The 27,958-nt window shown below is 50.8% G+C and overlaps 1 protein-coding gene and 2 long non-coding RNA genes across 4 annotated transcripts, besides 3 other annotated features; 2 read left to right on the top strand and 1 right to left on the bottom strand.

Annotated features, from left to right (window-relative positions):
* SLC25A18 (solute carrier family 25 member 18) lies at positions 232 to 27,729 on the bottom strand. 2 transcript variants are annotated; one of them, NM_031481.3, is made up of 11 exons: positions 27,514 to 27,729; positions 21,241 to 21,303; positions 11,263 to 11,482; positions 10,068 to 10,190; positions 9,814 to 9,869; positions 8,574 to 8,664; positions 7,693 to 7,811; positions 3,926 to 4,091; positions 3,148 to 3,302; positions 1,562 to 1,637; positions 232 to 1,132 (listed from the first exon to the last, which is right to left on the bottom strand). In NM_031481.3, the coding sequence occupies exons 3-11, from the start codon at positions 11,280 to 11,282 to the stop codon at positions 991 to 993; spliced, it is 948 nt and encodes a 315-aa protein (NP_113669.1). In that variant the 5' UTR covers positions 11,283 to 11,482; positions 21,241 to 21,303; positions 27,514 to 27,729; the 3' UTR covers positions 232 to 990. The 2 variants fall into 2 exon arrangements, with proteins under 2 accessions (NP_113669.1, NP_001290413.1); NM_001303484.2 differs by lacking the exon at positions 21,241 to 21,303.
* On the top strand, positions 2,035 to 11,072 carry LOC101929372 (uncharacterized). Its single transcript, NR_171783.1, has 4 exons — positions 2,035 to 3,360; positions 5,841 to 5,962; positions 9,679 to 9,893; positions 10,896 to 11,072. It is a non-coding gene; the product is annotated as an uncharacterized LOC101929372 (long non-coding RNA).
* Positions 21,056 to 21,806: an enhancer, noted in NCBI's record as "H3K27ac-H3K4me1 hESC enhancer chr22:18049486-18050236 (GRCh37/hg19 assembly coordinates)". NCBI's record gives its function as "activates a minimal SCP1, AML or CMV promoter by ChIP-STARR-seq in primed H9 embryonic stem cells {active_cell/tissue: H9 hESC(primed)}" and the evidence as "EXISTENCE:reporter gene assay evidence [ECO:0000049][PMID:30033119]".
* On the top strand, positions 21,149 to 27,530 carry LOC105372850 (uncharacterized). The gene is made up of 3 exons (XR_001755420.2): positions 21,149 to 21,249; positions 26,724 to 26,958; positions 27,114 to 27,530. It is a non-coding gene; the product is annotated as an uncharacterized LOC105372850 (long non-coding RNA).
* Positions 21,807 to 22,558: an enhancer, noted in NCBI's record as "H3K27ac-H3K4me1 hESC enhancer chr22:18048734-18049485 (GRCh37/hg19 assembly coordinates)". NCBI's record gives its function as "activates a minimal SCP1, AML or CMV promoter by ChIP-STARR-seq in primed H9 embryonic stem cells {active_cell/tissue: H9 hESC(primed)}" and the evidence as "EXISTENCE:reporter gene assay evidence [ECO:0000049][PMID:30033119]".
* Positions 27,664 to 27,958: a silencer, noted in NCBI's record as "tiled region #614; K562 Repressive non-DNase unmatched - State 20:ReprD". NCBI's record gives its function as "represses a minimal TATA promoter and a strong SV40 promoter by Sharpr-MPRA in K562 cells {active_cell/tissue: K562}" and the evidence as "EXISTENCE:reporter gene assay evidence [ECO:0000049][PMID:27701403]".

The following is a 27,958-nucleotide window of genomic DNA, read 5'->3' as shown; positions in this document are numbered from 1 at the left end:
TTTTCTTAGGACTTGGCCCTGCTGCTGTGACATTATCTCTCCTGTAGCAGCCTTTGGGGGAGGAATCGAGGTGCGTGAGGAGGGCTCTCACAGCAAACTCAGCTCCTCAAGACGATTCACTTATGAAGGGATAGAATCAAGGCTTAAAACCCAGTGTCACTAACAAGCAGATATTTCCCTATGGCTGTGTTCCTCCACCCCCACAAGTAACAGTTTGAAGAGTGACGGGGGTCTGCTTCTATGCCCTTTTTAATGTTTGGTTTTGAAATGGACGTAGAAAAGTAGATGGTGATAGCATTCACTGCAGCCTATCTGCTGTACCCACTGATGAACAGATGAGATTTTAGCCATTCACCTTTATTTCAGAGTGTTCCTTGGTTACAGGGAGGGGTGTGCAAGACCCTGGGCTCTGGGGGAGGGGCTGAGCTGCCCAGTCAGAGCCGGCCTCAGCCCCCTCAGCCATCCAGGGATTCGAAAGGGTGCTTGGTCTCAAACTAGGTGCTGACTCTGAGGGCTTTCACGGTCCCTTGAACTTCTGATCCTCCTTTTCCTCAAAATCAGTGCTAGGACTCATAAGTTATGGAGTCCAAGATTAACAATGCTAAATCCTCAAGCTGACTGAAGAATGCCGAGTTTGACTGTGAAATAGAAATGTTAAAATACAGAAACAACCCTTCTATTGTGACTACCTGTTAAGGTCCTGCAATTAATACAACGAAAGTACCATTTTTGTTGAAAAGTAGGTGGTTAGGGGCTTCCAAAAGCCCCTGGTAGCTGTGCCCACAAAGGAAAACGAGTGTAGACACGAAGGGGAAGAAGGCTGTGCTCAACTTGTTAGAATATAGGGCTGTTTCTCCCGAGATTGAGGTAGCACTACAACGCAGAGGACCAGGCAGGCCAGAGTGGCCCCACCTGCCCTTGCCCCCTCTAGGCTAAGTGAAACAGCTAGAGAGAGGGCGGCAAGCGCAGGGACTTGACCTCCAGCTCTGTCTAGTCAAAACACTTTAAGATGCGCTCTCCAATCCCAATAAAATAGACCCCTTGAGCAATCCCAAAGAGAGGTGCTATGACCAGTGCCCGGCAGCCAGCGCCTTTCATGAAGGCAGATGGTCCCTCCTGAATCCAGAGTTTCCTGGGGAGAAAGAAGAGCCAGTGAGCTGATGGGCAGGGGCATTCTGCAAGCAGCCCTCAGTGGCAGCCTCTCCATTTGTGCACCTCTCATTTTAGAATAGTGCCTTCCACAACAAGAGCAAGAGGCCAACGGTGTGGGAGCTGTGCCTCGCCCGCTAGGTGCATGCAGGTTGGTTACTTATGCAGTTGGGTCAAGGCCTTGGAAACAGGCTTGATGTGGCTAGAATCTTTGGTGAGAGATGCTGTAGGGATGCCAGGAAGAAGAAAAAGGCTCCCAGTACATTCTGTTTTCTTTGAGAGGTGAGGGAAAGACAGACTTCAAAGAAACCCAGAGCCCAGCAATTCAAGTTGGTCTCTAAATCTGGTCTAGGCAGACACCCACGCAGAGGAACCTGTCCCAGCCACCATTTGAGGGGACACTGGCTCTCACCTGGCACAGTCGGTGATCCCACTGTACATGTCCTCGCCCAGGCCTTTCTTGAGGGTTTGGATTCGAGTTTTCAGAACTAAATCAAGTAAAAGTTAAAGTAAGTAGTGAACAGCTTACTTTCGGTGTCCTCCCCTCAACACTAAGGGGCTGGGCCCTCCTGTAGAGCCACCACATATAAAACTGACTCATAGGCCGGGCGCAGTGGCTCACGCCTGTAATCCCAGCACTTTGGGAGGCTGAGGTGGGCAGATCACAAGGTCAGGAGTTTGAGACCAGCCTGGCCAACATAGTGAAACCCCATCTCTACTAAAAATACAAAAATGAGCCGGGCGTGGCGCGTTCCTGTAGTCCCAGCTACTCATGAGGCTGGGGCAGGAGAATCGCTTGAACCAGGGAGGTGGAGCTTGCAGTGAGCCGAGATTGTACCACTGCACTCCAGCCTGGGCAACAGAGCAAGACTCCATCTCAAAAACAAAAAAAGAAAAAAAAAAACGGTCATGAGGCCAGTTCTGCCATTGTGTGATCTGTAAGTGGAGGTCTTCTTCTTTGGGCCTCAGCTATAAAATAAATGAGTCATGTTACTGTGGCTTTGTTTGGTTTTGTTGAGACAGGGTCTCGCTCTGTTGCCCAGGCTGGAGTGCAGTGGCACAATCAGCTCACTGCAGCCTCAACCATCTGGGCTCAAGTGATCTTGCCACCTCAGCCTCCCGAGTAGCTGGGACTACAGGCACGCACCACCACACCCAGCTAATGTTTTCATTTTTTTTTTTTAGAGACAGGGTCTCACTTTGTTGCCCAGGCTGGTCTCAAATTCCTGGGCTCCTGTCTCGGTCTCCCAAAGTTTCGGGATTACAGGCGTGAGCCGCCGCACCTGGCCAGGTTACTGTTGGTATAGGAAGTCTACCCGCAAGTTTAGGGAGCTGGAGGCAGCCCTAACACGGAGGGAAGCATTGTCTTCTCATGCCAGGTTTAGCTCCCACCATTAGCCGCAAATTTTATGTATTTATTTACTTTTTGAGATGAAGTCTTGTGCTGTCGCCCAGGCTGGAGTGCAGTGGTGTGGTCTTGGCTCACTGCAACCTCCACCTCCTGGGTTCAAATGATTCTCCTACCTCAGCCTCCCAAGTAGCTGGGACTACAGGCATCCGCCACCACACTCTGCTAATTTTTTTTGCATTTTTAGTAGAGACGGGGTTTCACCATGTTGGCCAGGATGGTCTGAAACTCCTGACCTCAGGTGATCCAAAAGTGCTGGGCTCCCAAAGTGCTGGGATTGCAAGCGTGAGCCACCACACCCAGCCAGCCCCAAATTTTAACACATCAGCAATAATTTATAGCTGGGGCTCACAACTCTTCTGAGGGGATGAAAAGCTAAAGCAATCAGCATCTTGAAGGCGAGGGATGTGTCAGGGATGAGAAACAGAAGGAAGGTCTCTTGGGACCCACTTTCTCCATGAGGGCCTCTAGTGAGCCTCCGCCAGCAGCCAGATTGCAACCCAGTATGGCTTCCAGGGTCAGGCTGTTTTATCTATAAGTGCAAAATTACTGTTTATCCCATAGAAAGGACACGTCTCCCAACTCCTTACCATCTAGAGGCGTCACTGCGACCGCAGCTATGGAACCTGCCACACAGCCTGACACGAAGGAATGTGCAAAGGACGCCTTACCGGCGAGCTCGTTGAACCCCAGGTTGTTAAGGTTGGCAAACAGTGGGAAGTAGATGATGGAGAAAGGAATGTCTCTGCAGAAGAGGAAGGAGAAACACTGAGCTCCGAGCTGCCCTGGGGCTGCCACCCAAGGTGAGACAATGAGCTTTGCTGTGAGCTGTGGGGCTTACAGTGAGAGGAGCCACGGGGACTCATCCCTTCTTTTGTGCCCCGTGAGCGTGGGTGAGGGACAGCAGGGGACAAAAGAGCTGTTGCCATCTGTTCCGCCGTCCCAGCTCCTTCCTCTGCCCTGCAGCACCTGCAGCCTCTTGACTGCCAGAGGCAAGTCCGAGGCGGGAAATGCGTTCTGTACAGGGGCAGGCAGGCTAAGGGAAGATGAGGGGCCTGGCCACTCATTACTATGAACTCTGCGGTCCTCTGTAGACAGGGCTTTCTTAGGTGCCTTTGGGCCACAAAACACCCAGCCTTCCTGTGGGCCTGGTCATCACTATGCAAGCGGCCTAAAACTTTAGTCTTCTAGGTACCCATTCTGTGCCACCCTGGCCAGTTCCAGACAAAACAGGAAGCATGGAAATCGTTTGCTCACCTGGGTTTGGATATTCTGGGAAGGACACAGAGGCAGATAGGGACAACCAGCTCTCTGGCCCTCGTGCCCTCCCCCGTGCACTTGTCCTAGGGAACCGGAAGAAAGGCTCACCTGAGGAGAGTGGCACCCAGGCCCCTGTAGAGCCCAGCCAGGCCCTGAGTGCGGAGCAGCTCCCAGGCAATGAGGGTGGCAGAGGGGCGCCTGTGGGTGGAAGCCGAACCAGTTGTGTAGGACCTGGAGGTGGAGGGTGCTGAGGCCGAGCCCTGATGATGGACGGCTGGAAGGGAAAGGACAGACATCAGTACCTGGTCCCCAACAGATGCTACGAAACACTCCTGAGTGTGGCTCTCAATCCCTGCCCCTGGGACAGTTCAGAGGCCAGGCTGACACCTCAGCTGGCATCCAGAAGAATGTCCTAATTTTAGAATGTTAATTTTTGGCTCTGAGGACGTCTTCCTAAGGTCTACAGTATCTCAGGAGCTATCCCAATGCTGAGAACACTTCCCAAGAGCACAGCCACAGCCTGGCCCGCTTGCTTCTCCGCCACGTTCCTTAGGGCTCCATTCCTTACCCTCCCATTAAAACTGGTTTTGATCTGGCTTCCATTTCTAAACCATTTCTCAGCCTATGTAGGTCATTTTTATTTTTAGTTATTTTATTTATTTTTTTGCAGTGGTGCGATCTCGGCTCACTGCAACCTCTGCCTCCTGGGTTCAAGTGATTCTCCTGCCTCAGCCTCCCTAGTAGCTGGGGTTATAGGCACATGCACCACACCTGGCTGATTTTTGTATTTTTAGTAGAGATGGTGTTTCACCATGTTGGTCAGGCTGGTCTCAAAACTCCTGACCTCAGGTGATCCACCTGCCTTGGCCTCCCAAAGTGCTGGGATTACAGGCATGTGCCACCATACCTGGCTGATTTTTGTATTTTTAGTAGAGAAGGTGTCTTACCATGTTGGTCAGGCTGGTCTCAAACTCCTGACCTCAGGTGATCCACCTGCCTTGGCCTCCCAAAGTGCTGGGATTACAGGCATGTGCCACCATACCTGGCTGATTTTTGTATTTTTAGTAGAGAAGGTGTCTTACCATGTTGGTCAGGCTGGTCTCAAACTCCTGACCTCAGGTGATCCACCTGCCTCCCAAAGTGCTGGGATTACAGGCGTGAGCCACCGCACCCAGCCTAGGTGATTTCTAGACACAAAAAGAATTTGTGGCTTTCCACCATTAGGCAGAACATACATGAAATTCCCGTGTCCTAAAATGCTAATAGGATGGAATGGTCTCCCTCAGGCTTCCAGGTCACCTCCTCCTGCTCGTCCTCCAAGATAAGGTGAGCAGGTCCTTCCCACTCTTCCCTATTTGGTAGAATTTGATTCTTTAAATCATTCAGAGCCTATCATTTGATAAGTTCAATATTACTCATTAGAATGGAGTTATACCACATTTAAAATGTTGTGAGGTGGCCGGGCACGGTGGCTCACACCTGTAATCCCAGTACTTAGGGAGGCCAAGGCAGGCGTATCACCTGAGGTCGGGAGTTCAAGACCAGCCTGACCAACATGGAGAAACCTTGTCTCTACTAAAAATACAAAAAAAAATTAGCTGGACGTGGTAGTGCATGCTTGTAATCCCAGCTACTCAGGAGGCTGAGGCAGGAGAATCACTTGAACCTGGGAGGCAGAGGTTGTAGTGAGCCAAGACAGTGCCATTGGACTCCAGCCTGGGCAACAGAGTGAAACTCTGCCTCAAAAAAAAAAAAAAAATAATAATAATAATAATAAAATAAATAATAATAAAATAAAATGTTGTGAGCCCCATTAATAACCATGGGATTTGTGACACTGAAATTCTGTATTTCTTTTCCTAAATCTCAGTGTCTGAGAAGCTTTGCTTAGATTATAAGTCCTTGCCAAAAGGAAGCTATTCCCAATGTCATGTCCCAGATTTGATTGGTATCCAGCAGGAAAATATTTCATACTAGGAATCTAGTTATCCGCACATTTTCTTTCTGTTTTTTTTTTCTCGAGATGGAGTCTCGCTCTGTCACCTAGGCTGGAGTGCAATGGTGCGATCTCCGCTCGCTGCAACCTCTGCCTCCCGGGTTCAAGTGATTCTCCTGCCTCAGCCTCCCGAGTAGCTGAGATTACAGGCATGTACCACCACGCCCGGCTAATTTTGTATTTTTAGTAGAGATGGGGTTTCGCCATGTTTGCCAGGCTGGTTTCGAACTACTGACCTCAGGTAATCTGCCTGCCTCAGCCTCCCAAAGTGCTGGGATTACAGGCATGAGCCACTACGCCCAGCTGCTTTTTTTTTTACTGGAGACTAGTTCTTGCTATGTTGCCCAGGCTGGGCTCAAACTCTGGATCCTCCTGCCTCAGCCTCCTGAGTAGCTGAGATTACAGGAGTGTACCACGCTGAACCAACACCACTCCATCATTCTGAGAGGACCAGGATTTAGGAAAGGGCCAAATTTCTCTTCCAAGAAAAAAACAAAAGAATGGGAATGATTCTCTTCTCCCTTTTTATGCCTTTCTACCAAAAGCCAGCTTCTATAGCATAAAATACTGACTGGAGGTTTCAGTGAGCCAGTCATTGGCATTTCTTTTTTTTTTTTTTTTTTTTTTTTTTTGAGATGAATTCTCGCTTTTGTCCTCCAGGCTGGAGTGCAAATGGCGTGATCTCAGCTCACTGCAACCTCTGCCTCCTGTGTTCAAGCGATTCTCCTGCCTCAGCCTCCCGAGTAGCTGAGATTATAGGCACACACCACCACGCCTGGCTAATTTTTGTATTTTTAGTAGAGACGGGGTTTCACTGTGTTGGCCAGGCTGGTCTTGAACCCCTGACCTCAGGTGATCCGCCTGCCTCGGCCTCCCAAAGTGCTGGGATTACAGGCGTGAGCCACCACGCTGGGCGGCATTTCTTTCTTTCTTTCTTTCTTTCTCTCTCTCTCTCTCTCTCTCTCTCCTTCCTTCCTTCCTTCCTTCCTTCTTTCTTTCTTTCTTTCTTTCTTTTCTTTTTGAGATGGAGTCTTGCTCTGTCTCCCAGGCTGGAGTGCAGTGGCGCAAGCTCCACTCACTGCAAGCTCTGCCTTCCAGGTTCACGCCATTCTCCTGCCTCAGCCTCCCGGATAGCTGAGACTACAGGTGCCCGCCACCACGCCCAGCTAATTTTTTGTATTTTTAGTAAAGATGGGGTTTCACCGTGTTAGCCAGGATGGTCTCAATCTTCTGACCTCATAATCCGCCCGCCTCGGCCTCCCAAAGTGCTGGGATTACAGGCGTGAGCCACGGCACCCAGCTGGCATTTCTTAAAATCTTTAGGAGATCAAGTCTAATTGTGAAGAAAATGTGACAGAAGCCTTAAGTATTTTCTGACCCTCTGAATCAACATTCTCATTTCTGCTATTTGTTCTAGAGCTGGCAGCATTGATGAAATGGGTAACCATAAATGAAGACTTTTTTTTTTTTGAGACAGAGTCTCACTCTGTTGCCCAGGCTGGAGTGCAGTGGTGCAATCTCAGCTCACAGCAACCTCTGCCTCCCAGGCTCAAGTGATTCTCCTGCCTCAGCCTCCCGAGTAGCTGGGATTATAGGCATGCACCACCACGCCCGGCTAATTTTTGTATCTTTAGAAGAGATGGGGTTTTACCATGTTGGGCAGGCTGGTCTCGAACTCCTGACCTCAAATGATCCACCTGCCTCGGCCTCCCAAAGTGCTGGGATTACAGGCATGAGCCACCATGCCTGGCCAAAAACTTCTACCTGCTTGGAAAGTTGACTGGTCACACAGCCTAGCAAATGAGGTTGGGATGTGGGATGTGCCTGGTTCCAATCCCAGCCCTTTACTGTTCCCATAGGAGGTGGGGACAGGCCTCACCCAGGCGTCCAGCATCCTGCAGCTGAATCTTGAGCATTTCCATGGGACAGGTCACCACGACCTGGCACATCCCAGCCCCACACCCGGCAAGCATCTCCATCTTCAGGTTCCGCTGCATCCTATGGGAACAGGCGTCAGGCTCCTTCAGCCGCAGGCCACAGGCCTGCCCTGGTGCAGCTGCCCTCTTGTGAGAGGGGGACTTTCCCTGGATGGCACCCGTGGCTGCCACTCACCCAGCTGGTCAAGTCATCAGCTAGCCCTTAGGTGTGGTCTCTGTACGGACAGGGGACTAAGTTTAAAACAAAGCCTGCTAGGGAGGTAGCACCGCATGGAAGCTGAAAACAGTGACAGAGAAAACTACCCAGACCAGGCGTTGTCCTTGATCCCTTCAGGAACATCACTGGGCAATGTGAGGCACAGAGAGAGCTAGAAAGTGTTTGGGGGCTGATTTGTTTTTCCTGAGACGAGGTCTCGCTCTGTGACCCACGCCGAAGTGCAGTGGAGCCAACATGGCTCACTGCAACCTCGACCGCCTGGGCCCAAGCGATCCTCCTTCCTCAACCTCCTAAAGTGCTGGGATTACAGGCATGAGCCACTGCAGCCAGCTTGGTGGCTGATTTTTAAAAATTTATTGGCTAGTTGATGGATTTGTCTGTATATGCTATATGTTCTCTATATTATCTGTCACACTTCCAAAGTATACCAGCTCATTCTCTCCCTTCACTCTCCAGCAGCCCAAACACACACCAGCCCTCAGCCATGTGTGCACATATTTATATGCATGCAGGCAGGTATACTGAGGCACATTTGAAATCTTCTTCCTGCCATCTCTCCCAAAAAACACACAGTGAAGGATCCAACCCCACCCCACCTGGCCATACCCATCTTCCATGAGCAGCCGCCGGAAAAAGTCGTTGGCCGCCAGCTTGATGGCCTTCTCTGGAGTGACCAGAGTGAGGTTCACTGCAGCCCCTGGAAGTGAAGGACAAGATGGGGAGTCAAGGCCATCCCAGAAATAACAGTGCCCCAGGTCTGCCCTTCAGCCCTAGCCAGGCCAGTCCCTGAGTGAAGGGCATTTTTGGGGCCAGGTGGGGCTCCTGAGCCTAATTCACTGAAATAACTTTCCATTCCCACTCCCTACCACATTCTCCTTTTTTTTTAGATGGAGTCTCGCTCTGTCGCCCAGGCTGGAGTGCAGTGGCGCGATCTCGGCGCACTGAAAGCTCCGCCTCCCGGGTTCGCGCCATTCTCCTGCCTCGGCCTCCCTAGTAGCTGGGACTACAGGCGCCCGCCACCACGCCCGGCTAAATTTTTTTTGTATTTTTTAGTAGAGACGGGGTTTCACCGTGTTAGCCAGGATGGTCTCGATCTCCTGACCTCGTGATCCGCCCGCCTCGGCCTCCCAAAGTGCTGGGATTACAGGCGTGAGCCACCGCGCCCGGCCCCACATTCTCCCCTTTTTACGTATTTTTTTCTTACGGACTCCTCAGTTTGGTTATCAGGAAGCCATTTTATTTTTGTTGCTGCTGGTGGGGTCGCTGATGATAAAACAGCAGTTCCAGTGACAGGCGCCAGGCGCAGGGACTGGGGTTCCGCTCCTCTGTGCCGCACAAGCCAGTCCCATTGGCTGCTAGCTCGGGGCTGTCTAGGGTTTGTGTTTTGCTTCTCGGCGGCACAAGCATACGAGCTCCGGCTCAACTCCAGCTTGGGATCCATTGTCCAAGGTACCTCCTGGCTGGGGACCCCGCAGGGACCGCAGCAACGCTGGACCGAGCTGGGGAGGAGCCACCCAGAACTCCTTGCCAGGAGCTCAGGCCCCGTCCCTCAGTCCCTTTCAGCCTCTCTCTCTTCGCTTCTAGCCAGGCAGAGAGAGGCAGGCAGGTAGGGAGGGCTCGCCTGCTCTTACTGAGGCGGTGGCGGGGGGTGTGCTCTGTGGGTCTCCGGAAGCCTTACCAGGACCCAGAGCTGCCTCTGTCTCCACCCAAGAGCACAGAGGCTCATCAGGAAGGACCCCCTGGCAGCCCTGGCCCCATCCCCGCAGCAACGGAAGGAACACCAGTTCCCCATGTCCCATACGCTCACACCTGCTGCCCAGCCTCCCAGGGGACCTGAGAAGCCCACCTCGGTACATGCCGAAGAAGCCCTCCGCCCGAGCCGTCTTCATCAGGCAGTCGATCCTGGAAGCAGAGGCCAGAGTAGGAGTAAGTGTGCAGCGGGCCTCCCAGCCGCCTCCATGCCCTGCTCCCGCGGGCACATCCCAGCTGATCAGATCCCCAGCCCCCAGGCTCACGCGCGCTGCCTGGAGACTGGAGGGAAGGGGGCCCCATCCCTCCCCCGGGCGCCTCTGCCCTCCACGCTCGCCTGCCAGCACCTACATTCCTTTGTACATGGCTTTCCCATGCTGGTTCTGCAGGCGAGTCTTGGCCAAGTCGATGGGGAACACGCAGGTCACCCCCACGAGCCCTGCTACACCTCCATTGATGAGTTTGGCTGTGATGCTAGGACAGGGGGAGGACAGGGGGAGGAGAGAGGCAGAGGGAGGGGCAGGTTAGGGAGCGGATGCAGCCAGGAATGGGCAGGGGCACAGACAGTGGGGAACCCCAGCCCCACAGGTGTCCAGAGACCCTCTTCAGCCTCCCTGGCCCAGGTCTGGTCCAGACAGGACAGCCGCACTCACCCGGGTGAGGCATCTTGCTGCAACCCGGGAAGTCCCTGGAGCTGGGACCTGCAGGGGCTTCTGGGAGGAGCCCAGCTCTGCCCCCATGGGCCGCCACCAGGGCACCGCTCTGCCCCAAGCTTCCCCGGCCCGTCCTCTGGCTCCTCCGCAGGCCTGGAGCCACGTGTGCAGTTCTCACACAAACGGACTGAAGGTCAGGCAGAACTGAGTTTGCATCCTGACTGTGACCTCTCCTCTCTGGGCCTGCATTCCCGTCGAACTCACTCCAGGGTTGCTGAGGACTATGGAAACCGTGCCTGGGGGGGAATGCCAGCTATTGTTCATAATAAGAGAGCAGGCACTTCCCACAGTGAAGGCTTCAAGTCGGTCAGCCCTTGAGGTGACCTAGTTCCAGCCAAAAGTAAAGCCACAGTTTAGATAACATGGCCCCCCACCCTGCTGGGTATAGGAGCTTTGGAAGACGGGAAATAGAAAACAAAGCTTTCTCAGACTCCTTGGAACCCACTCAACTTTTCTTATCTTTCAGGCGGGAGGCAGACTGTGAACAAAATATTTGGAGATGGATTTACCTGGAAGTGGTAAGAGTAGATGATAGTGGGCCTTTCACAAAGGAAGAAACTTGGGACGATAAAGAGAACTGTAAACTTAATTTTGTAGTTAGAGAAGATGAACCCAAACAATTAAACTATGTTGAACAATAACATATATGTGCACAGATGCTTGTGTGTACGTATTTGCCACAGTAGATGTAGTGTATATGTTATATGGGGGACAGGGGTCTTGCTCTTCCCTAGGACTCAGCTTGTTCTTCAGAAACCTGGATGTGCTATCACCACAGCGACTCTCCGCCAGGCCCAGGGCCCAGGGCCTCAGGCTGCCCCAGCCGAGCTCACCTCAGATCCTGGTGGGTCATTCTGCAGGGGCTGGGGATCCCAGGACACAAGGCTGCTGGCTCCTTGGGGTAGCCGCTGTTGGGGCTGTCTGGGGGAAGAAGTGGAAGCTTCCTTGGCTCTGGCCCCGTAGCAGTGTGGACAGAGCACGGGTTTTGAGTGCAGCCTGGCCCGAGCCACCTTCCCGGCAAGTGACGACCTCCTTGGGCTGCGGCTTCCTCCCCTGCAAAGTAGTCAGAGAAACACTCACCTCACAGATGGGCGAGGACGCACGTCACTAGTGGATTCATGCGGCCCGCTTGCTCCACTTTTTTCCCTTCCTAAACCTTTTGGACTTTGGGATTCAAATCAGAATCCTCGAACTTTTGGACTCTGGGGATCAGATAAGAAGGAAGGGGAATGAGAGAGAAGGATACAGCAGCCTGCTGAGGCTGGAGGAAAGGATGTCTGGGGCATTTTGGACAGAGGCATGGGAGTGGCACTGGAGGAAGCAGAAGGGATGGAAAGGATTTTAAGAGGAGTTGCTATGAACTAGGAATCCCTCTCTTGGTGTCCAAGGACTACAATAAAATACTTAAGATGGCCGGGCGTGGTGGCTCATGCCTGTAATCCTAACACTTTGGGAGGCCGAGGCGGGCGGATTGCCTGAGCTCAGGAGTTCGAGACCAGCCTGGGCAACGTGGTGAAACTCCATCTCTACTAAAAATGCAAAAATTAGCTGGGTGTGGTGGTGGGCTAGTAATCCCAGCTACCTGGGGGGCTGAGGTAGGAGATTGCTTGAATCCAGGAGACAGAGGTTGTGGTGGAGCCGAGATCACACCACTGCACTCCAGCCTGGGCGACAGATCAAGACTGTCTCAAAAACAAACAAACAAACAAACAAACAAACAAACAAACAAACAAAAAACCCACTTAAGATGCTCCATAGTTACTTTTTGGCTATTAAACTGTGTTTTCTGAAATTCATGTGATCTTGTTGAGAAACCAAACTACATTATATTCCTAATTGACAAGTGGAAGCTACAACAATTATGACAGCTTCTGAGGAGGGGGCCTGCTATTTTTTTGAGATGGAGTTTCGCTCTTGTTGCCCAGGCTGGAGTGCAATGGCACGATCTCAGCTCACTGCAACCTCTGCCTCCCAGGTTCACACCAGTCTCCTGCCTTAGCCTCTGGAGTAGCTAGGATTACAGGCATGTGCCACCACACCGGGCGAATTTTTGTATTTTTATTTTTGTATTTTTTCCGACCTCAGGTGATCCACTCGCCTCAGGCTCCCAAAGTGCTGGGATTACAGGTGTGAGCCACCATGCCTGGCCAGAGTGAGGCTGCTTTAACCCCAGAGGAGTGGTGTCAGGAGCAGCTCTCCGGACGCTCTCTGCTTGGGCACAGGCTGGCCCAGGCTCTGAGGAGCCTCTTCTCTCCGGTGCCCTGAAGCTGCTTTAGGGTCCCCAGCTCTCCTGCACTCCTCACTGCTCTCCAGCAATTGAGAGACTGGTTGCCAGCAATTCTTTGCTGTCTCCAGCTATTTTGTTTTGGGTAAGAAAAGAGAGGAGGGGTGGGGGAGACATTAGTCTTTCTCTTGGTGCTACACTAATCCATTCAGGAAGACATTTGCTGAGTGCTGGGCACTGCTCCAGGTCTGGTGACATAGTAGTGAACAAAATACACATTCTAGTTCTCAAGGACTTAAGTTTGGCCGGGAACAGTGGCTCACGCCTGTAATTCCAACACTTTGGGAGGCTGAGGCGGGTGGATCGCCTGAGCCCAGGAGTTCAAGACCAGCCTGGGCAACATAGTGAAACCCCGTCTTTACAAAAATACAAAAAATTAGCTGGCCATGGTGGCCCAGCTACTCAGGAGGCTGAGATGGGAGGATTATTTGAGGCCAGGAGGTGGAGGTTGCAGTGAGTCAAGATCACACCACTACACTCCAGCCTGGGCAACAGAGCGAAACCCTATGCCCCCCAAAGAAGAAAAAAAAAAAAAGAAGCAGGGCGCAGTGGCTCATGCCTGTAATCCCAACACTTTGGAAGGCTGAGGACGGCAGATCACCTGAGGTCAGGAGTTCGAGACCAGTCTGGGCAACATGGTGAAACCCCGTCTCTACTAAAAATATAAAAATTGGCTGGGCATGGTGGCGGGAGGATCACAAGGTCAGGAGTTCGAGACCAGCCTGGCCAACATAGTGAAACTCCATCTCTACTAAAAACACAAAAATTAGCGGGGAATGGTGGTGTGCGCATGTAGTCCCAGCTACTCAGGAGGCTGAGGCAGGAGAATGGCATGAACCTGGGAGGCAGAACTTGCAGGGAGCCGAGATCGCACCACTGCACTCCAGCCTGGGTGACACAGCGAGCCTCCATCTCAAAAAAAAAAAAAAAAAAATAGACAGGACACAACTGTTTCTGTCTGAAGCCAGGGAGTCCAATAATTGAGAACATTGTGACTGCTCTTATAATCATATTCCCTGCTGTTTCTAGAACTAAATTACTACTTTAGAAACTGTGGGCCGGGTGCGGTGGCTCACACCTATAATCTCAGCACTTTGGGAGGCTGAGGCGGGCGGATCACCTGACGTCAGGAGTTTGAGAACAGCCTGACCAACATGGAGAAACCCCATCTCTACTAAAAATACAAAAAATTAGCTGGGCTTGGAGGCTCACGCCTATAATCCCAGCACTTTGGGAGGCTGAGGCGGGCGGATCACAGGGCCAGGAGATCGAGACCATCCTGGCTAACATGGTGAAACCCCGTCTCTACTAAAAATACAAAAAATTGGCCGGGTGTGGTGGTGGGCGCCTGTCGTCCCAGCTACTTGGGAGTCTGAGGTAGGAGAATGGCGTGAACCCGGGAGGCGGAGCTTGCAGTGAGCCGAGATGGTGCCACTGCACTCCAGCCTGGGTGACACAGTGAGACTCTGTCCCCCACCCCAAAAAAATTAGCCAGGTGCGGTGATGGGCACCTATAATCCCAGCTACCTGGGAGGCTGAGGCAGGAGAATCGCTTGAACCCAGGAGGCGGAGGTTGCAGTGAGCCAAGATCACGCCACTGCACTCCAGCCTGGGCTACTGGAATAGGGGTATTTAACAGATGCCAGAGAAATTAGGGACACCCTAATCCCAGGGCCACTCCATAGCATAGCTAACAGATGTGATAATGTTTCCACCCACGGAGAGCACTTGGCTGGAGGGTGAGCCTCCCTACCCTGAGGCTGTACCAAGCTGCTGCAGTTCCAGCCCCGGAAGTTCCCTTTCGCAGGCCTATGCTAATCAAAGCCTATGACTTGACAAGATTCCTGGCAGCAGTAAATGCATTAGTAACAGGCAACAAAGGCGAAACCATTAGCCAGGCAAGGTATGAAAGGAGTCATAGCACCATGAAAACCCCAAACCTGGCACCAGGGCCGATAACTGCCCCCCAAGGCAACCCACAAGCCTAAGTGTTAGTCACGCTACAGATATTTGTTGAGTGATTACTGTATGCCATTTGCAGTTCTAAGCAGCAGGGACACAGCTGGGGAACAAAGCAAGGCCTTGCCCTCCACAGAATTGAATTCCTACTGGTTCCGGCACTGATGGGAATAGACTTCTTTTTTTTTTCTTTTTTTTTTTGAGACGGAGTCTCACTCTGTCGTCCAGGCTGGAGTGCAGTGGTGCGATCTTGGCTCACTGTGTAACCTCCGCCTCCTGGGTTCAAGCTATTCTCCTGCCTCAGCCTCCTGAGTAGCTGGGACTACAGGCTCACACCACCACGAATGGCTAATTTTTGTATTTTTAGTAGAGATGGGGTTTCACCATGTTGGCCAAGATGGTCTCCATCTCCTCACCTCCTGATCTGCCCGCCTCAGCCTCCCAAAGTGCTGGGATTACAGGCATGAGCCACCATGCCCGGCCTCCTCTACCTTCTTTTCTGAAGGAATTTAGAGGGTGTAGGGGGTATTGGGGTAGAAAAGATCATCTAAGTGCTGGGATGCAGAACAATGAGAAAACACATCTGGAACTCTTTGGAAACAAAGTGGGAAAGGACTAGAAAAGCAGCCAGCTGGAAGACAGAGGCTCCCTGTCACCGCCTTGGGATGCAGCATCTGGCCATGACATTGTGTCACTGTGCACTGGGAAGACAAGTGCATTCACAATTTACATGTGATAACTGAATCATATTGAGAAGAAGAAATTTGATACACGGGAAATAGCATGTTTGCATGTTCTTAGTGTCAAAAGGTGGAATGCAGTGGGTGAGCATACCCCATTCTAGGACTTGCCCTTTCCCCCTTGCTATTCCGGGTTAGTTGCACTGGGAACTGCCACGTCCCTGGAACTCCATCCCCTGGCTACTGTTCACTGTGTAAGGATGGAGACCTGACTTAAGCTGAATGATTCAACCCCTTCCATAGGAATTTTTAAAGTGTATGCAGCCTCTTTTAGGGGCATTTTACCTGTAACAGATAAAACTTGGGGCCCATCAGCAAACTTGTCACATGATTGAGGAAACAGAGATAAATAAAGCAGACCCGCAGAGATGATGCAAGGCGGGAGAGACTTCTGCCTTATTACTGCACAGCGATCCACTTTATTCCTGACCTTGACCACAAAAAGGGTCTCCCACTATGCTTCTAATGAGGTGACTTATTGTCTTAAGATAGTAGAGTTCTGTAACTTGGTAACCAAAGAGTGCTTAATAAATACATTTTTAAAACCCTCACATTCCATTTAATGGCAACTGAGCGGCTTAGACAGTGCGTGCTGAAAGGCTCAGAGGTGTGCAGAGTCACTAAGGGCTGGCTTGGAGAAGTGGGACTTAAAGAATAAGAGAGCACGGGGCACAGTGGCTCACACCTGTAATCCCAGCACTGTGGGAGGCCGAGGCAGGTGGATCACCTGAGGTCACGAGTTTGAGACTAGCCTGGCCAATGTGGTGAAACCCGGTCTCTACTAAAAATGTAACAATTAGCTGGGCGTGGTGATGCATGTCTGTAATCCCAGGTACTCAGAAGGCTGAGGCAGGAGAATCGCTTGAACCTGGGAGGCGGAGGTTGCAGTGAGTTGAGATCGCACCACTGCACTCTAGCCTGGGCGACAGAGCGAGACTCCATCTCAAAAAATACATATATAAATAATAATAATAATAATAATAAAGGGAACATTGGCCAGGCACAGTGGCTCACGCCTGTGATACCAGCATTCTGGGAGGCCGAGGGTGGGTGGATCAGGAGGTCAGGAGTTCGAGACCAGCCTGGCCAACATAGTGAAACTCCGTCTCTACTAAAAACACAAAAATCAGTCAGGCGAGACGTGATGGCACGTGCCTGTAATCCCAACTGCTCGGGAGGCTGACGCAGGAGAATCGCTTGAACCCGGGAGGTGGTGATTGCAGTGAGCCGAAACGACGCCATTGCACTCTAGCCTGGGCGACAGAGCAAGACTCCATCTCAAAAAAAAAAATAAAAAAAAAAAAGAATAAGGAAGCATTTAAAAGCAGAAGGTGGGGCGTGCAGACCCTGGATGTGGGCTTGGTGTGAGCAGAGGGTTCAGGGAACAGAACTGTGGGAAGGAGGCTGCAAAGGCAGGTTAGGCCACACGTGGGGAGCCTGGGTGGCTAGAGACAGCATGTGCCCTCCTAAAAGGGAATTTTTTTGTTTTCTTTTTGATTGGCATTTTCACAACATGAAAAGTGAATTTTTAAATGTGATCCTGTAGGCAGTAACAAAACACTGAATACTTCTTTTTTTCAGGGGACAAGATCTGGCTCTGTTGCCCAGGGTGGAGCGCCGTGGCGCAATCTCAGCTCACTGCAACCTCTGCTTCCCAGGCTCAAGCGATCCTCCCACCTCAGCCTCCCAAGGAGTTGGGACCATAGGTGTATGACACCATGTCAGGCTATTTTTTTAAAAAAAATTTTTGTAGAGATGGGTTTTGCCATGTTGCCCAGACTGGTCTTGAACTCCTGAGCTCAGCTGATCCGCACACCTCCACCTCCCGAAGTGTCGGGATTACAGGCGTGAGCCACACTGAATGCTTTTAAGGGGGAAAATACCACATTGAATGTAGTATGAGGACAGTTATTCTGGAAGAATGGGTTGAGGGGAGTCAGTGAGAGGCCAATTAGGAGACCCTTCAGAGTAAAACAATGAAGTGGAGAGGGAGGGATTAGGGAGAAGGGGTAGAGAACAAGGGTTACTGGGAGAGAACTTTGTAGAGAGCCTTGGTGACTGTCCAGGGCTGAACCGCAGAGAACCATGGAGCTGTCTCAGCTCTGAGGTGAGGAATGAAGGATGCAAGTTAGGAACCGAAGCTGCCTGCAGGGAAGGAGAGAGATGGGGTCAGTGGGGCTTCGGGAACTCTCTCCTCAGCACTGTGGGAAGGAAGTCAGCCAGCAGGCACACCGGCTTGACAGAAAGAACACCTCAGCTGTAGACACCATGCTGCCGTGGCTGGCCTTGGGCTAGTCCTCCAGCCCCCAGGTGCCCCATTTCCAGGAGTATTTCCAGATACTGAGTCCTACCTCCTCACCACTCCAGACTCTATTTTTCAAACGTGGAGGTGGCTAAGGATGGTTCTGGTGTAGAGTCAGAAGCAGACAGGTTTTGGGGGGAAGTGGGGAGGAAGTCAGAGAGGAGGTGCAGCACTGTCAACTGATCTCACCACTCAGCAGCATTCAGAGGCTACTCCGGCCACCCCTGCCTGAATCCCACCACCAGAACTAACCTGTGGCCCACCCTGTCTGTTTTGCTAGAAAATAATGAGCTAACAGGAATGATCCATGACTTTTTGTTACTAATGAACATCTGCTCCCTTTCTTAAAGTGCTTAAAGTAATAGAAAAAATAGTAGAAAATCCAGAAGGTACAGAAAACTGTAAAAGGTCTCACTCTGTTGCCCAGGCTAGAGTGCAGTGGCGTGATCTTGGCTCACTGCAGCCTCAACTTCCTTGACTCAAGGGATCCTCCCGCCTCAGCCTCCTGGGTTGTTGAGACTACAGGTGTGCACCATCACGCCCGGTTAATTTTTAAAAAATTATTTGTAGAGGGCTGGGCGCCATGGCTCATGCCTGTAATCCCAGCACTTCGGGAGGCCGAGGCGGGCGGATCACGAGGTCAGGAGATTGAGACCATCCTGGCTAACACGGTGAAACCCCGTCTCTACTAAAAATACAAAAAATTAGCCGGGCGTGGTGGCGGGCGCCTGTAGTCCCAGCTACTCGGGAGGCTGAGGCAGGAGAATGGTGTGAACCCGGGAGGCGGAGCTTGCAGTGAGCCGAGATCGCGCCACTGCACTCCAGCCTGGGCGACAAAGCGAGACTCCGTCTCAAAAAAAAAAAAAAAAAAAAAATTTATTTGTAGAGATGGGGTCTCGCCATGTTGCTAAGGCTGGTCATGAATGCCTGGGCTCAAACAGTAATCCCACCTCAACCACTCAAAGTGCTGGGATTACAGGCGTGAGACACCACACCCAGTGGAAAAGTGATTCTTTTTTTTTTTTTTGAGATGGAGTTTTGCTCTTGTTGCCCAGGCTGGAGTGCAATGGCACGATCTCGGCTCACTGCAACCTTCACCTCCAGAGTTCAAGCAATTCTCCTGCCTCAGCCTCCTGAGTAGCTGAGATTACAGGCATGCGCCAGCATGCCCACCTATATTTCTGTATTTTTAGTAGAGATGTGGTTTCTCCATGTTGGTCAGGCTGGTCTTGAACTCCCGATCTCAGGTGATCCGCCCACCTTGGCCTCCCAAAGTGCTGGGATTACAGGGGTGAGCCACTGTGCCCAGCCGATTCTCCTTTTTTTGAGATGGAGTCTCACTCTGTTGCCCAGGCTGGAGTGCAGTGGCGTGATCTCGGCTCGCTGCAACCCCTGCCTCCCAGGTTCCAGTGATTCTCCTGCCTCAGCTTCCTGAGTAGCTGGGATTACAGGCACGCACCACCACACCTGGCAAAGTTTTTTGTTTTTTTTTTCTGAGACGGGAGTCTTGCTCTGTTGCCCAGGCTAGAGTGCAGGGGCATGATCTCGGTTCACTGCAACCTCCGCCTCCTAGGTTCAAGCGATTCTCCTGCCTCAGCCTCCCAGTAGCTGCGATTACAGGCACGAGCCACCATGCCCGGCTAATTTTTGTATTTTAGTAAATACGGGGTTTCACCATGTTGGCCAGGGTGGTCTCAAACTCCTCACCTCAACTGATCCGTCTGCCTTGGGCCCAGACTTTTTTTTTTTTTTTTCTTTTTGAGACAGTCTCACTGCATTGCCCAGGCTGGAGTGCGGTGGTGTGACCTTGGCTCACTGCAACCTCTGCCTTCTGGGTTCAAACAGTTCTGCCTCAGCCTCCCAAGTAGCTAGGATTACAGGCGTGCTCCATCACGCCCGGCTAATTTGTGCATTTTTACCCTGTTGTCCAGGCTGGTCTTGAACTCGTCAGCCTCAAGTGATCTGCCCACATCAGCTCCCCAAAGTGCTGGAATTACAGGCCTGAGCCACTGCGCCCCGGCTGGAGAAGTGATTCTTAATACATTGTAACTGAGGGTCATATTGTGAACAAGACACACTATTTAGAGAAATGATACTAGCTGCTGAGCTGCAGGGAGGAGCGTGCTGGAGTTTTCCAAGCTCCTCAGATCACATAGCTTTTCGTTCTTCCTGTTTAAAAACGTCCCATTCCCTTGGCTTGACTCCTCTGGCTTCCCCTTCTGTGCAGCCACTGCTAGATCACCACAGATTGTCCCTCCGGATGCCTGAGGGCTCCTAACTCAGCTCCTTGCCTTCAGCCTTGTTGCCTTCAAATCCACCTTCCAAACGGCCAAGTGGGTGAAAGGGCGCGGGGGCTGCCTTCCCACGGCTCTCGGGACAGGCTCCCACTCCCGCACAACCTGCCCTGGTTTTCCTCTCCCTCACCCCCTGCTTTCAACTTTTGCTTTCGGAACACGTCAGTCTTGCTTCCGAGTCTTGCACATACTGTCCCCTTCACCCAGGACACTCTTTCCGCATCCAAACCCAGTGATTTACAAACTGTTCTTTGGGCTTCAGCTCAGACGTCACCTCCTCCCACATGCCTTTCTGGAGTCACCCCATTCTTGGCTAGGAGCCCTCTCCTGTTAACCCATTGAATATTCAGTTGCAGCACTTACTGCATTACATTGACACTGACTTGCTTCCCCATGAAAATTACCAGTTATTTGTGAGTTAAGACGGTCTTGAGGCTGGGCACGGTGGCTCACGCCTGTAATCCTAGCACTTTGGGAGGCCAAGGCGGGCAGATCACCTGAGGTTAGGAGTTCGAGACCAGCCTGGCCAACATGCTGAAGCCCCATCTCTACTAATAGAAAAAAAAATTAGCCAGGCATAGTGGCATGCACCTGTAGTCCCAGCTACTCGGGAGGCTGAGGCAGGAGAATTGCTTGAACCCAGGAGGCGGAGGTTGCGGTGAGCCGCCATCATGCCACAGCACTCCAGCCTGGGCGACAGAGTAAAACTGTCTCAACAACAACAAAAAGTCTTGGGGCAGTATCCTGGCCACGGCGCAGAGGCATCCAGTAAGCATCCTCAAATCAAGAAGCCACAATGACTCCCCATCTGACTTTGCTGTCAGACTTGTCACGAGACTGCTGGCTCCACTGTAGAGCTGTGCTCATTTATTCCCACTGTGAGGAGCTGGGTTGGGGGCCTCAGGGTGATGACCACGTCCCCGCCTACTTCCTCTTATTAGCAGAGCAAGGGTGAGTGTTCCCAGGAATGAGCCCCTCACACTAGTAGCCAGGAGCCAGTTCTTGACTTATTGCCAAGAAAATCACTTGCTTCCTGGCTTGGATGTTGCCTGGGATACCCCATGGTCAGGGGCGGCCACTTCCTCGTGCCCACCCCTTCTGACTCTATCCAACAAATGGGATGAGTGTCCCTGTCCCACTGGCTGCTCTTCCCCTTTCCCCCAATGGTTTATTTGCTAGAAGAGTCTTTTCCTACCAACTCTGAGCTTGATGCAGACAGACAAGACACTTACCTGCTTTCGGTAAGAACCTCTGCCTTTTCTGGAACCCAGGATATAGTTCAGATCGCTGCTGAGCTGCAGGGAGAGGTGGCTTTCAGTGTCAGCCAGCTTGGACTGGTTTTCCCTTCTGTGGTCAGTTTCCCTCCCTCTGCCTCCCCCTCATCACCACTGCAGGGTTCCAGACTCTCACCGCACACTGCACCTTCAAATAGGTTGGGTTTGAAGCAAAACCCAAAGAGGCTACTATCCAGTCAAGCCACGCTGCACCTCCCCAGGTGGCAAGTAGGTTGCTGTTTACTTGGTGGCTAGTATGACTCGGACAAAAAGTCCAGGCTGGGAAAAGATTTTAACAAGGCAGCTTGGGGGTGAGGGGAGATTCACCGCCCACTCAGAGACCTGGAAGCCAGGGAGGAGGACAAACACTGAAAATCAATGCAACGCAAACACTTTTGCAAGACATTTGGTGCCAGAAGCAAATCTCTGCTTCTCAGTCTCATGCACTTTTCTTACTGCTGATAACCGGCTATTTCAATGATCCTGGGAGGCATCCTCCCTGCAGGAACACATTTTCCTTTCACTTTGCATGTATTTGTTGGGGGCTATCACGTGCTCAGCTGCAGGAGGGCTGCAATGTAGTTTTGGCACATTCTCAATGCTTAAGAATGTTACAAGTGTAAAAAGCAAAGAAGAGGGCTGGGCGCGGTGGCTCACGCCTGTAATCCCAGCACTTTGGGAGGCCGAGGCGGGCGGATCACGAGGTCGGGAGATGGAGACCATCCTGGCTAACATGGTAAAACCCCGTGTCTACTAAAAATACAAAAAATTAGCTGGGCGTGGTGGCGGGCGCCTGTAGTCCCAGCTACTCGGGATGCGGAGGCAGGAGAATGGCGTGAACCCAGGAGGCGGAGCTTGCAGTGACCTGGGATCGCGCCACTGCCCTCCAGCCTGGCTACAGGCTGGGCGACTCCATCTCAAAAAAAAAAAAAGTAAAGAAGAGGTTCCTCTTAAAAGACTTTCCTCCCCATCTAATTAAAAATAAGTAGTAATTTCTCTTAAAAGCAAAATTTATTCAAAGACCTGTGCTAACATTCTTAAATATCTACCAGCCATAATAAAAAAAATCAATGTACTTTATACAGGCCGGGCACGGTTGCTCACGCCTGTAATCCCAGAACTTTGGGAGGCCGAAGCAGGTGGATCACAAGGTCAGGAGACTGAGACCATCCTGGCTAACACGGTGAAACCCTGTTTCTACTAAAAATACAAAAAATTAGTCAGGCGTGGTGGCAGGCGCGTGTAGTCCCAGCTACTCGGGAGGCTGAGGCAGGAGAATGGCGTGAATCCGGGACGCAGAGCTTGCAGTGAGCCGAGATCGCACCACTGCACTCCAGCCTGGGTGACAGAGTGAGACTGTCTCAAAAAAAAAAAAAAAAAAAAAAAAAAGATGTACTTTATATTCTCGGCTCCCACAGTTTAGCCTCAATATTTGCCCTGCCATACTTATACTGGTCCAAACAAACATTAGGTCATAGCCTGTTCCTCTTCCTTATTTAAAGGTGTTTTTACCTTTCTCGATATTCCACAAGTTCCTTCCTCCTTCCTTTATTCTCATCTGCCTTTTTTTTTTTTTTTGAGATGGAGTCTTGCTCTGTCACCCAGGCTGGAGGGCAGTGGTGCCATCTCGGCTCACTGCAAGCTCAGCCTCCCACGTTCACGCCATTCTCCTGCCTCAGCCTCCCGAGTAGCTGGGACTACAGGTGCCCACCACCACACCCGGCTAACTTTTTTGTATTTTTTTAGTAGAGACGGGGTTTCACCATGTTAGCCAGGATGGTCTTGATCTCCTGACCTCGTGATCCGCCCGCCTCAGCCTCCCAAAGTGCTGGGATTATAGGTGTGAGCCATCGCACCTGGCCTATTCTCCTCTGCCTTTGCCTCTTTTAAAAAGTTGTAAGTTACTAGCCAATCAAAACAAATACAAAATATAAAGTCCCATTCCAGCCAAAAAAACCAGACAGCAATAAAGTAGACCCATCAGGTTATAAACGACCCTGTCTCCTTTGTTCAGTATACTCTCGTGACAAAACTGCTAGCAAGTGTACCCTTTCTGCAGAAAGTATAAAAATGGCCTTACTAAAAAAATTAAATTTATATTCAAGTGCTATTTCTTTACGGCACCAAGGAACAAGCATTCCTACAAGTGAGTTGTGAACTCAATGCTGCTTGAGTTAAGGAAGGTTTCTTGGAGTTTTGGAGACATGGAAAGGTTTCAGGAAGAAAGTGGCAATTGATTTTGGGTTGGAGGAAAGGCAAAGATGTTGATGGAATTATAAAAGCAAGGATAGAGAGGTAAAATGGAGATCCACTGGCAAATTGTCTAATTTGGGGCAAAAGGCTGTTAAACCACGTTGGGTCTAGATGAAACAGGGCCCTGCTGCCAGGCGAAGGATCTGGGAGAGGTGAAGAATCAGCACTGGATACTTTGAAGTCAGATGCACGTTCAGATTCCAGCTCCTAAATTATGAAGTAATACACTTTAGGGAAGCTACTTTAGTGCTTTTTTCATAAAAGGGGAATGGGACATCCATGTAACAGGATTGTAATTAATCTGAAATGAGGCTGTAGAGTGGACTTGAAAATAGGATTGCTTTTGAAACAGTTTGAATCTTAGTTTACTGCTTACTAGCTGTGTGACCTTAAACAAGTTACTTAAGTTGTCTGTGTTGCCTGTTCATCTATGAGATGGGACTCATATCTAGATGTAGTGCACTTAGTACAGTGCCTGGCACATAAAAGGTATTCACATGCTAATTCTTTGTAAAATATACATTATTTTTGAGACAGTGTCTTGCTCTGTCGCCCAGGCTGGAGCGCAGTGTCGTGATCATGGCTCACTGCAGCCTTGACCTTCTGAGCTCAAGCCATCCTCTCACCTCAGCCTCCCAAGTAGCTGCGATTACAGGCATGCCACTATGCCTGGCTAATTTTTGTTATTTCTTTGTAGAGACGCGGTTTTGCCATGTTGCCCTAGGCAGGTGTACAACTCCTGACCTCAAGCCATCTGCCTGCCTCAGCCTATCAAAGTGCTGAGATTACAGGTGTGAGCCATCACGGCCGGCCCATGCTAATTTTCTTCCCACCTTTTCTGGTGGGCAATGGAAAGCTGATAGAGGATGCTATGGAGTAGGGACCCGACGGGACAGTTCAGGTCTCTGGCAGTGCCAAGTGGTTTGGACAAGTCAGGGAGATTACACAGTAAGCTAGGCAAAAGAGAAAATGACAGGCTGGGCCAGGCACGGTGGCTCGGGCCTGTAATCCCAGCACTTTGGGAGGCTGAGGTGGGCGGATCACCTGAGGTTGGGAGTTCGAGACCAGCCTGACCAACGTGGAGAAACCCCGTCTCTACTAAAAATACAAAATTAACTGGGCATGGTGGCACATGCCTGTAATCCCAGCTATTTGGAAGGCTTAAGCGGGAGAACCGCTTGAACCCGTGAGGCGGAGGTTGTAGTGAGCCGAGATTGCGCCATTGCACTCCAGCTTGGGCAACAAGAGCGAGGCTCCAGTTGGAAAAAAAAAAAAGAAAATGACAGCCTGCTCACAGGAGGGAAGAGATGTGAATGGTTTCTGTGAAGATTATACAGGGCTTGGTGGGTGATTAAACACGCCAGAGGCAGGTATCAGATTTGAAACACGCATCAGCAGGAGGAAGATACATTATCCCCCCACTGAGAGTGTTAGAAGCAGGGGGTAGGTAAGGAGACGGGGAGGGAAGAGAAGTTTGGCAGCTGACATGAGCTTAAAGTAGCAGTTGCAGATGAGGGGGTGACAGCAGGCACCAGAAACAGCGGTGCAGTGCCGTGTCACACCCACAAGCATGGTTCAAAAAAATAGAGATCGGCATTGGTGCGGATGTAGAGAATTGGAACCCTTGCTGGTGAGAATGTAAAACACGGCAGCCATGGTGGAAGACAGTATGGCAGGTCCTCAAAAAAGTAAACACAGAGGCCAGGTGCGGTGGCTCACGCCTGTAATCCTTGTGCTTTGGGAGGCTGAGGTGGGAGGATCACTAGAGCCTGGGAGTTTGAGACCAGCCTGGGAAACATCCAAGACCCCATCTCTTTATTTTTTGAGACGGAGCTTCACTCTTGTTGCCCAGGCTGGAGTGCAATGGCACGATCTCGGCTCACTGAAACCTCTACCTCCTGGGTTCAAGTGATTCTCCTGCCTCAGCCTCCGGAGAAGCTGGGATTACAGGCATGCCCCATCATGCCCGGCTAATTTTGTGTTTTTAGTAGAGACGGGGTTTCTCCATGTTTGTCAGGCTGGTCTTGAACTCCCCACCTCAGGTGATCTGCCTGCCTCGGCCTCCCAAAGTGCTGGTATTACAGGCGTGAGCCAACACACCTGTCCAAAAATTTTTTTAAAAAATTACTCAAAAAAACCCCAAACAAAAAATTAGCCAGGCGCTGCGGTGTGTGTCTGTAGTTCTAGCTACTTGGGAGGTCGAGGAAGGAGGATCATTTGAGCCCTGGGGTTGGAGGCTGCAGTGAGCTATGATCATACCACTGCACTTCAACTTGGCAAGACCCTATCTCTATTAAAAAATAGAAAATTTGGCAGGGCGTGGTGGCTCACGCCTGTAATCCCAGCACTTTGGGAGCCCGAGGTGGGTGGATCACGAGGTCAGGAGATCGAGACCATCCTGGCCAACATGGCAAAACCCCGTCTCTACTAAAAAATACAAAAAATTAGCTGGGTATAGTGGCAGGCACCTGTAGTCCCAGCTACTCGGGAGGCTGAGGCAGGAGAATGGCGTGAACCCGGGGGGGCGGAGTTTACAGTGAACCGAGATTGTGCCACTGTACTCCAGCCTGGGTGACAGAGCAAGACTGTCTCAAAAACAAAACAAAACAAAACAAAACAAAAACAGAATGAGTCTGCACAGAGTGACAAATGAGGCTGCAGGCAGAAATAAGAGCATCCCGAGGGAGGGCTCCTGGGCTCAAGCGATCCACCCACCTCACCCTCCTGAGTAGCTGGGATCACAGGTGCACACCATCAACCTGGCTAATTAAAACAATTATTTTTTTGTAGAGGTGGGGCCTCATTATGTTGCCTGGGCCTGATTTTTTTTTTTTGGAGACAGAGTCTTGCTCTGTCCCCCAGGCTGGAGTGCACTGGCTCAATCTTGGCTCACTACAACGTCCATCTCCCAGGTTCAAGTGAGTTTCCTGCCTCAGCCTCCCGAGTAGCTGGGACTACCACACCTGCTACCACGCCTGGCTAATTTTTTGTATTTTTAGTATAGATGGGGTTTCACGTTAGCCAGGATGGTCTCCATCTCTTGACCTCGTGATCCGCCCGCCTTGGCCTCCCAAAGTGCTGGGATTACAGGTGTGAGCCACCGCGCCCCAGCCAACTTAAGTCCTTTCTAAAAATTTTTTTTACTTTATATAAACTGTTTGTATTCTTTTTTCTATGCTATGCCTCAGGTTTGAAGATGTTCAGCTCAGATTACCTGCATCTAAGGACCAAAATGTAAATGCCAGGGCCATTCTTCCAGGTCAGTTTGCATCAGAACCATGCAGGTTGCATCTGTTGCTAGTTACAAGAGAGAGCTAGGCCCTTCTTCAGTTTAAGGTCTTAGGCGGGATGCCAAAATCTGCATTTCCAGCAAGTTCCCAGATGATGGCCAGGCTACATTGTGAGAACATCACAATAGATCATGTGAGTGAGAATGATCAGGGCAGGCTGAGGTGGTGGGGAGAGGAACACCATCACTTCTCCCAAGCTGCAGTTTCTGCAGATCTACGCTGCCTTTGGGAAATGTTTAGCATCACACTGGACATAATTACTTGCGCTGCATTTTCTGAATTACACAGTCTTCGTCTTAGAGTGGAGCCAGGGCAAAAGAGGAATTCAAGCTGGAACAAGGAGTCCGAGAAGACGCGACTGCTGGACAGAACAAGCGATGAAGCCAGTCCCCAAACTGATGAGCCCGCAGCTCCATCCAAATTAAATGGGCTGAGAACACCAACACTCCACCCTCCCGGTACGATTGCATGGCAGGGAGGAACCAAAAATATTTTTCCTTCATCTGCTATCTCAGCTAAGCAGTACACTCTTTCTAGCACCTCACTAGAGTCCAGTTTTTCTGTATTCTGTATTCACAATACAGGTTTATTATGAACTCTGAGCAGATGAGGCTATTTTTCCCCCTTTTGGTTTCTTAGTAACTAGGCAAAGTACAAGGCTCACGGTGGGTATTTAATAAATACTTACTGACAACTTGCCTGCAAGCGAGTCGACGTTCATCTCAGTTGTTGAGGCACTCACGGGCCAGGCTTCACTCGACTCTTCTCACTGCCTACTCAGTTCCTTCTCAAAGCAAAGCCCGTGGATATATCCAAGGAACTGGCTTCATTGCTTTTAAAAATTCTGTCCAGCTTTAACTGGCTAGAATAGGGGTCCTCGTCCTTGTCATATGCTGTCCAGAATGAAGTCCAAATCCAGGATTCTGGGAGCATGTCATGCTTTCTCGAACCTGCAGGAGTCTCAAGGGCACCTGCATTGATATGCATGTCATGGCTGTAGAAGGGGGCTGGCATTGCAGCACACAATAGCCAAATCTGGGGATTTTCCAGATGCCTTCGCCTTCTTGGCTAGTATTTTTCACTGAAGGTTTTTTATAAAACTGCTTAAGGAAACTAGGGGAGTGAGCATTGCT

This window comes from Homo sapiens, chromosome 22, assembly GCF_000001405.40.
Source record: "Homo sapiens chromosome 22, GRCh38.p14 Primary Assembly".
In the NCBI taxonomy this organism is placed as follows: domain Eukaryota; kingdom Metazoa; phylum Chordata; class Mammalia; order Primates; family Hominidae; genus Homo; species Homo sapiens.
The sequence above is the reverse complement of the archived record's forward strand: the minus strand, read 5'-3'. Positions and strand labels throughout refer to the sequence as shown.

What these genes read in the sequence shown, in the direction of transcription:
- SLC25A18 (NM_031481.3), bottom strand. Translation starts at nt 11,282, where the DNA reads ATGACCCACCAGGATCTGAG. An exon ending in AAAGCCATGTACAAAGGAAT is followed by an intron (nt 9,870 to 10,067) that starts GTAGGTGCTGGC and finishes CTCTGCTTCCAG; the next exon opens with GATCGACTGCCTGATGAAGA. An exon ending in GGGATCACCGACTGTGCCAG is followed by an intron (nt 1,133 to 1,561) that starts GTGAGAGCCAGT and finishes CTTTCTCCCCAG; the next exon opens with GAAACTCTGGATTCAGGAGG.